We start from the raw sequence: 7793 nt of genomic DNA on the forward strand, positions 1-7793 counted from the left end.
GATGATGAATTTTTGGAGACCACACCAAAAACATGATCCATGAAAGAAGTAATTGATAATCTGGACTTCATTGTAATTAAAACTTCTGCTCTGCAAAAGACATTGTTTAAAGGATGAAATGACAAGCTAAAGACTGGCAGAAAACATTGGCAAAACATATATCTTGATAAAGGTTTGCTACCCAAAATACACAAAGAACTCTTAAAACTCAATAATAATGAAACAATCCAATTAAAAAGTGGGCAAAAGACCTGAACAGACATCTTACCAAAGAAGATGTTCATGTAGCAAATAAGCACATGAAATAATGCTCAACATCATATGTTATTACAGAATTTTCAAGTAAAATAACAATAAGATACCACTACACATCTATTAGAATGGATAAAATAAAAAACACTGAAAAAAATTAACAGCTGACAAAGATATTGGAAAACCTACACTAACATTCATTGTGGGAATGCAAAATGGTACAGTCTCTTTGAAACACAGTTCAGCCTTTCCTTATAAAACTTTAAGCACACTCTTACCATACGATCCAGCAATTGTGATCCTTGGTATTTACCCAAATGAGTTGAAAACTTATGTACACACAAAAACCTGCACACAAATGCTTATAGCACTTCATTAATAACTGTCAAAACTTGGAAGCAAACAAGATGTCCTTCAATAGATAAATGCATAAATGAATTGTGGCGTGTTCATATCAGAAAACAGCATTCAACAATAAAAAGAAATAAACTAGTACAAAAAGACATGGAGGAAACTTAAATACATGTTAGTGAAATAAGTCAATCTGAAAAGGCTACATATTGTATGATTCTATCTGTATGACATTCTAAAAAAGAACAAATGATGGAGACAGCCAAAAAGATTAGTGGCTGCCAGTGGTTCAAGTGGAGGGAGAGAGGGATAAACAGGTGGAGCACAGGGGATTTTTATGGCAGTGAAACTATTCTGTGTAACACTGAAATGGTAGATACTTGTCATTATACACTTGTTAAAACATATAGAAAATTCAATAGAAATAGTGACCCCTAAGGTAAATTATGGATGTTATGTATTGGTGAATCAATTTTAATAAATGTATCACACTACTGCAGGATGCTAATAATGGGGGAAATGAAGGTTGGGATATAAGAAGGTATATGTTCTTCCTACTTATTTTTCTGTAAGCCTAAAACAACTCTAACAAAATTAAGCTTATTCATTTAAAAAATCAATCCATCATCCAATTAGAAAATGGGCAAAAGACATAAAGACACATGTCATTGACGAGGACATATAGATAGTGAATAAGCACATGAAAAGATGTTCATTAGTTATCAGGGAACTGCAAATTAGGACCATGATAACATATTAATGCATATCTATCAAAATGGATAAAATAAAAAATAGTGACAATACCAAATGCTGGTAAGGATGTATAAAGAGCCTGATTTTCTCAAGCATTGATAATGGAAATGTAAAATAATACAGTCACTCTGGAAAATACCTTGTCAGTTTCTTTGTTAAAAAAATTAAATGTAACAACTACCATAGGACCCTTAATTGCACTCTTAGGCATTTATCCCAGAGAAATGAAAGTATATGTCCACCCAAACACCTATACATTAATGTTCCTGGATGCATTATTTGTAATAGCCAAAATATGGAAACAACTACAATGCCCCTCAACAGGTGAATGGGTAAACAAACTGTAGTATAGATAACATGGTACCAAATCTCTGTGGTGCAGCAACGAAAAGGAACATACTATTGATACATGCAACAACTTGGATGGATCTCAAGGCCATTATGCTGAGTGAGAAAAGCTGATCTTGAAATGTCACATATTGTATAATTCCATTTATATAACATTCTCAAAATGACAAGAGTGTAGAGGTAGAAAACATATCAGTGATTGCCAAGGGTTGATGATGGTAGGAGATCAGGAAGGTGAGAGTGACTATCAGGGAGTAGCAGAGGCAGACCTTTGTGGTGCTAGAGGATTTCAGTATTCTCATTGGCATGGTGGCTGCATGAATCAACACTTGTGATAAATGACATAGACCTATACACACACAATGAACCAGTGTCAGTCTCCTGTCTTTGATATGGTACTATAGTTATAAAAGTTGGAACAATTAGGGGAAATTGGGTGAAGGGTTAGTACGCAGAATTTCTTTGTGCTAACTTTGTAATTTTCTATGAATCTACGATTATTTCAAAATAAAAAGTTGGCCAGGCACAGTGGCTCACTCCTGTAATCCCAGCACTTTGGAAGGCCGAGGCAGGCAGATCACCTGCAGTCAGGGGTTCGAGACCAGCTTGGCCAACATGATGAGACCCCGTCTCCACTAGAAATACAAAAATTAGCCAGGCGTGGTGGTACACACCTGTAATCCCAGCTACTTGGGAGGCTGAGGTAGGAGACTTACTTGAACCTGGGAGGCAGATGTTGCAGTGAGCCAAGATTGCATCACTGCACTCCAACCTGGGTGATAGAGTGAGACTCTGTCTCAAAAAAATAAAATAAAATAAAATAAGTTAAAATTTTTTAATGTTTAGAATTATGAGCATGACATATTTATCAGCTAGGCATAGCTAAAGAGATTAATTGGTAAATTGTAAATAAGTTGATGAAGCATGGAGATTAAAAAAAAAAAGAAAGTGAGACATGTAAAAGGGCATAAGAGATATATGGCAGTCTGCAGAAAGATTTAACATATACATAATCAGAGTCCCAGAATGGGAGGAGAGAGGAAATGAGGAGAGGCAAACTTTGGGAAGATAATAGGTTAGAATTTTCCAAAACCGAGGAGAGACACCAAATTACAGATTCAGGAAGTTCTGTGAAATCCAAGAAGAGTAAATAAAAAGAAAATTATCCTTGTATCACAGTAAAACAAAGACAAAAAGCAAGCAGCACCTCCATTGGCGGCACAGAAGGAAATGTCATATTTTTGTATGTTCTTCATCATCACAACATTAAAATTACAACTGACATCTCAACAGAAATCATGGAAGAAAGAATTCAATGGACTTATACAAAGTACCAAAAATAAAACTAGCTACCAAACACTCTAGAATTCTATACCCAGAAAAAATATCTTCCAAAAGTGAAGGCACAGTAAAGACACTTTCAGATTAACAAAACTGAGATAATTCATTATATCAAATTCACACTAAAAATTTCTAAAGGGAATTCTACAGACTAAAAGAAAAGATGCCGAATGGAAATAAGAAAATGCAGAGATAAGAAAATGGAATAATATGAAATAATTAATCCAAGAAGAGGCAAGAACATAGAGAAAAGCAATCATATAATAGTTGAGCCAAATAAAAAACAAATAGACAGCAGATAACATTTAAATGTATCAATAACTACCTTGAGTGTAAATGAACAAAATAAATATCAATCGTCACACTGGATTTTAAAAACAAATTTTTAAAATAGCAACAATCAATGCTGCTTTCACAGGATACATCTTAAATATAAATGAACAGGGAGGTTGAAAGTAGAATGGAAAATGTCTATATCATGCAAACATTAGCCAATAGAAAACATATGCAATTATAGCAATGTCAGACAAAGTAGGCTGCAGGACAAAATGCATTACTAGAGATATAAAGGGCATCTCCTAGTGATAAACGATCATTCACCAGGGAGATATGACAATTCTAAATGTGTATGCACCAAATTAATATGCTTCAAAATATGTACACAATTTAACAGATATAAAAGTGGAAATAGACATATCTACACTCATAGTGTGAGATTTTTAACATACCTCTCTTGGCAACTAATTTGCATTTCTTTGGTTATTAGAGGATCAGAATCGGTTTTGTGTTCTTAGTTTTTTGTGGTTATATATGAAACTGACTTCATATATTTCGCATGTTTTCCCACTGGAATGTTGCCTTTTTGCTTACTGATATGTAAGCCTTCTTTTTAAGATTTACTTTACGACATACGCTATAAGTGGTTCTTGCCAGCATTTGTCTTTTTATTTCATGAGTTTTGAAATTTTTGTAAAATACAATCTTAACATTTTCAGTGATGTTTCCTGCATTGTTTTCATTCTTGAAACCTAAAAGAGTGTGTTTTGACAGATTTATTTTTCCCTAGACAGAGTATTCTGAGTCTTAATATTGACACTATAGGTTCAAAGAAATTCACCTTATTTAAATAGAATCTATTCAAATTGTACTGAAATTGTTTGTGGGAATTTTAAGGGAGATCTTTCTTTCTACCTGAATGATCTTTCTTCCAAATCTTTATTTGTTTGACAAATATTTATCGAGCTTCTGTTCAGTGCCAGGCACTGTTTCAGGAGCTAGGGATAAGGCAGGGATTCAAATGGACCTTACCTCCCCGCACATTCTGTTGGGAAGAAGGAAGCAGTAAACACATATAGGAACAAACCTGTATGGCCTGTGGAGATGAACGCAACGGAGAAAGATAAGACTTTTGGGATAAGATGGCAGGTACACCTTGATCCACTGGCAGACTCTTTTTGCATCCTTCAAAATGTCTTGGCTGTCACCTTGCTCTGCGTGCTAACTTTGAGCCATGTCAGTTCTTCCACATTACACTGTGGAATTGACTTGAATTGACAAAACAAAAAAAAAAATGGAGGTAAAAAGCGTTTCTCAAAGATTAATTTTTTTTGAGACAGAGTCTTGCTCTGTCACACAGGCTGGAGTGCAGCGGCGCGATCTCGGCTCACTGCAACCTCCGCCTCCCGGGTTCACGCCATTCTCCTGCCTCAGCTTCCCGAGTAGCTGGGATTACAAGAATGCGCCACCATGCCCGGCTAATTTTTTTTTGTATTTTTAGTAGAGACGGAGTTTCACCTTATTGGCCAGGAGCCACAAGTGCTGCCGAACTTACAAAGAAAGGAATCAGGCCAGCCGCTTTGTCTCTCTCCAGGGCTTCCTGCAGGGCAGACGCACGCATGGCGAAGTTGCCATCTGAGGGGATGGCTTTTAATTTCACTCCACCAATTAACCCAGCTCTTTCCACTGAGGAGTGTGCCTGGAAAGAAGACAGCAGAGTTGGATTTGTACAGGTGTGTGCATGCAGTTATTACCAGGCCCTGGATCGGCAGAGAGCAGCCAACATTGCAAACACAAGGTCCCTCTTAACGGCACAGGAGGCAGAACTGCTCCTGACTGCTCCCTCTCCCCTGCACCTTCATGAGACCCCTTTTTTCCTGGAGTTGTTTCTGTTCCTGTGGAATCTTGCTTTTAAGTTTAAAGTATCAGGCACTAACAAGGGTAAAGTGCTGGGTCAATATTTATGAAGTTTTTCATTTGTTTGAACTCAAGGATAAGTGGCGAGACCCTGGAAAGTAGATCCCAGAGGTGGACTTAGAAATCCTAGGCTCAAATCTGTGCCCTGCCCCTGACTGTGGAGCCTTGGGGAGCTTGGTGGCCAGGCTCAGTAAACAGTACCTGGAGGAAAGAAACCAGCCAGGAGGCATCACCACTGTGGCAGATCCATCCTGTCTCAGAGATTCTCAGGAAAGGCAATTCTCATGAAAGCCGGCCACCTTTTGCCCTGCAGCCCCCACCGCCACTGTCTCCTGCTTGACGCTACCCAGGGGCCTGAGATCACAGAATAACAAAGCTGCAGTTAGGGCCGAGGACTTTGATCCCCATATCTAGTTTCTCTGCAATGGTGCTCGGAAGGCCAGATAATCACAACAGAAGTCCGCACTGGTAGAAAAGGTGACAGAGCCAGTCGCGGTGATGTCTCCACACATTTATTTCCTTCTTAACTTGATCTATCCAGTTCCCACCCAAGAATCCACCCCTTCCCTGTAGTTCAGGTCTCTATTTAGTGATACCTGAGGAACTGTTCTTAGATTTGGAAGGATGCTGTTTGGTTTGGTTTGAATTTGACATAAAACCAAACATTCGGGTCTTGAAGTCTTGGCTGATACCCCCACAACACACTCACCTGATCGGATGAGTAAGCCACCAGCTTCTCCATGATAGCGGCCTGTGTGAGCTCTGGGGACGCTGCCTGCAGCCGATGGATCACTTTGGTCCGAGCGGCCAGCAGGGCCACCAGGGTGGCTTCACTGGCACTTCCCTAAATTCAAGAGAAGGTCCAAATGAAATCCCAAACATAGCGAAGGCATTGGTACCTACACTATTGGAAGACATATTGTTTTGTGTCCATAGTTTTCTTAAAATATGAGTCTGAAATGGCAAAATTCACTCTCCTTTGCTTAGGAGAAAACTAATATTTTTGACACCTGAGACCACCACTTCAGCTGTTGGTATGAGTTTGCCATTGGTGGGTCTATTTTGTGTAACAGCAGCAGCTAACATTTCTGACCACTTCCCTGCGCCAGGTATTGTGAGAGCTTCTCCTCATGGACTGCCCCCAGCCTGGCCTAGGACGACTGCTCCTGTCTCTATCAGAGGAGAACGGCCCAGGGCACCAGCATGCAAGCCTGACTCTGCGTTCATATTCACTCGGACAGAGCGATTTGCATTTGTTTATAAAATAGGGGTGCATTTTCCTTGAGACTAAGAGATGCCTTAAAGGGTTTCTTTTGATTCCTAATGACACGGGCTGAATTGTGTCCCCAAAAATTCATGTGTTGAAGCCCTAACCCCCAGGACCTCAGATGTGACCATATTTGGAGATAGGCTTTTTAGAGAGGTAATTAAAAGAAAATGGGGTCACATGGCTGGGCTCTAATCCAATCTGACATGTTTCTGATAATATGAAATTTGCCTATAATCCCAGCACTTTGGGAGGCAGAGGAGGGTCGATCACTTGAGCCCCGGAGTTCGAGACCAGCCTGGGCAACATACCGAAACCCTGTATCTATAAAAATACAAAAATTAGCCAGGCATGGTGGCGTGCCTGGTAGTCCCAGCTACTCGAGAGGCTGAGGTGGGAGGATGACTTGAGCCTGGGAGGCGGAGGTTGCAGTGAGCCGCAATTACAACACTGCACTCCAGCCTGGGCGACAGAGTGAGACCCAGTCTCAAAAAAATAAATAAATAAAAAGAAGGGGAAATGTGGCCCCCAGACATGTGGGTGCACAGAGGGAAGACCATGTGAGGACACAGGGAGAAGGTGGCCATCTGCAAGCCCAGGAGAGAGGCCCCAGGAGAACCAACCCTGTGGACACTTTGATTTTGGACTTGCAGCCTTCGGGACTGTGAGAAAAGAAATTCTTCTTCGATCCACCCAGTCAGTGGTATTTTGTTAGGGAACCCCTGGCAAACTAATGGATTCAGGGCCTGCTATGTTATCCCATTTAAGTTGTAAAAATAATCCCATTTTTGTGTTTTATCATCTTCAGGTGGGGAAACAGATGTGCAGAGAGGTTCACTAACTTGCCCCAAATCAGCAGCTAGGTAGGGCACGGTTAGGAGTGAGCCCACGCCTGCGCTTTTTAGGGTGCCATGGGCCTAGAAAGGTAGGGGCAGCGAGCACCTTCCCTCTTAAGTAAGTCGTAGAAGAAACCCATCTACCGACCAGTATGAAAGGACATTAGAAAGGGCAAATAAAAGAAGGTAGGTTCTTGTTGACTCTGAAAAAGTTTATAACATGATAGGTTTTTACAGAGAAATATATAATAAAATAATTAAGTAGAAATGCTAACCTCTCTTCTTAACATTTGATGCTCTCTTCATTGACCCTGATTTCTCATTTTGACTTTGCCTTGACACTACTTTTACTTATTCTTTTGAGCCAACCCACATCCTTTGGTGGGACAGTAATATTGAAAGATAAATACATTTATTCATGTTTCTGTAGCACTAATGGATGGGTTCAAATA

General features: G+C 39.8%; 1 protein-coding gene across 10 annotated transcripts in view, besides 3 other annotated features; it reads right to left on the reverse strand.

Moving 5' to 3' along the window:
* The window catches only part of DDC (dopa decarboxylase), a 106964-nt gene that overhangs the window by 64819 nt on the left and 34352 nt on the right, over positions 1-7793 (reverse strand). For 8 of the 10 annotated variants that reach the window (XM_005271745.5, NM_001082971.2, XM_047419932.1 and 5 more), the window contains 2 exons: positions 5948-6082; positions 4877-5020 (listed from right to left, as the gene is read on the reverse strand). The exons of 1 other annotated variant lie outside the window; for it this stretch is intronic. In XM_005271745.5, coding sequence (XP_005271802.1) covers positions 4877-5020; positions 5948-6082 — 279 coding nt within the window. The remainder of the gene's footprint in view (positions 1-4876; positions 5021-5947; positions 6083-7793) is intronic. One more of the 10 variants, NM_001242887.2, reaches the window with a different exon arrangement.
* Positions 7402-7571: an enhancer, noted in NCBI's record as "experimental_99424 CRE fragment used in MPRA reporter constructs". NCBI's record gives its function as "activates a minimal promoter by MPRAs in K562 erythroleukemia cells, with activity observed for the introgressed 7:50598445 variant allele {active_cell/tissue: K562}" and the evidence as "EXISTENCE:reporter gene assay evidence [ECO:0000049][PMID:34662402]".
* Positions 7402-7589: a biological region, named in NCBI's record as "Neanderthal introgressed variant-containing enhancers experimental_99424 and experimental_99425".
* Positions 7420-7589: an enhancer, noted in NCBI's record as "experimental_99425 CRE fragment used in MPRA reporter constructs". NCBI's record gives its function as "activates a minimal promoter by MPRAs in K562 erythroleukemia cells, with activity observed for the introgressed 7:50598463 variant allele {active_cell/tissue: K562}" and the evidence as "EXISTENCE:reporter gene assay evidence [ECO:0000049][PMID:34662402]".

Source organism: Homo sapiens, chromosome 7, assembly GCF_000001405.40.
Source record: "Homo sapiens chromosome 7, GRCh38.p14 Primary Assembly".
In the NCBI taxonomy this organism is placed as follows: Eukaryota; Metazoa; Chordata; class Mammalia; order Primates; family Hominidae; genus Homo; species Homo sapiens.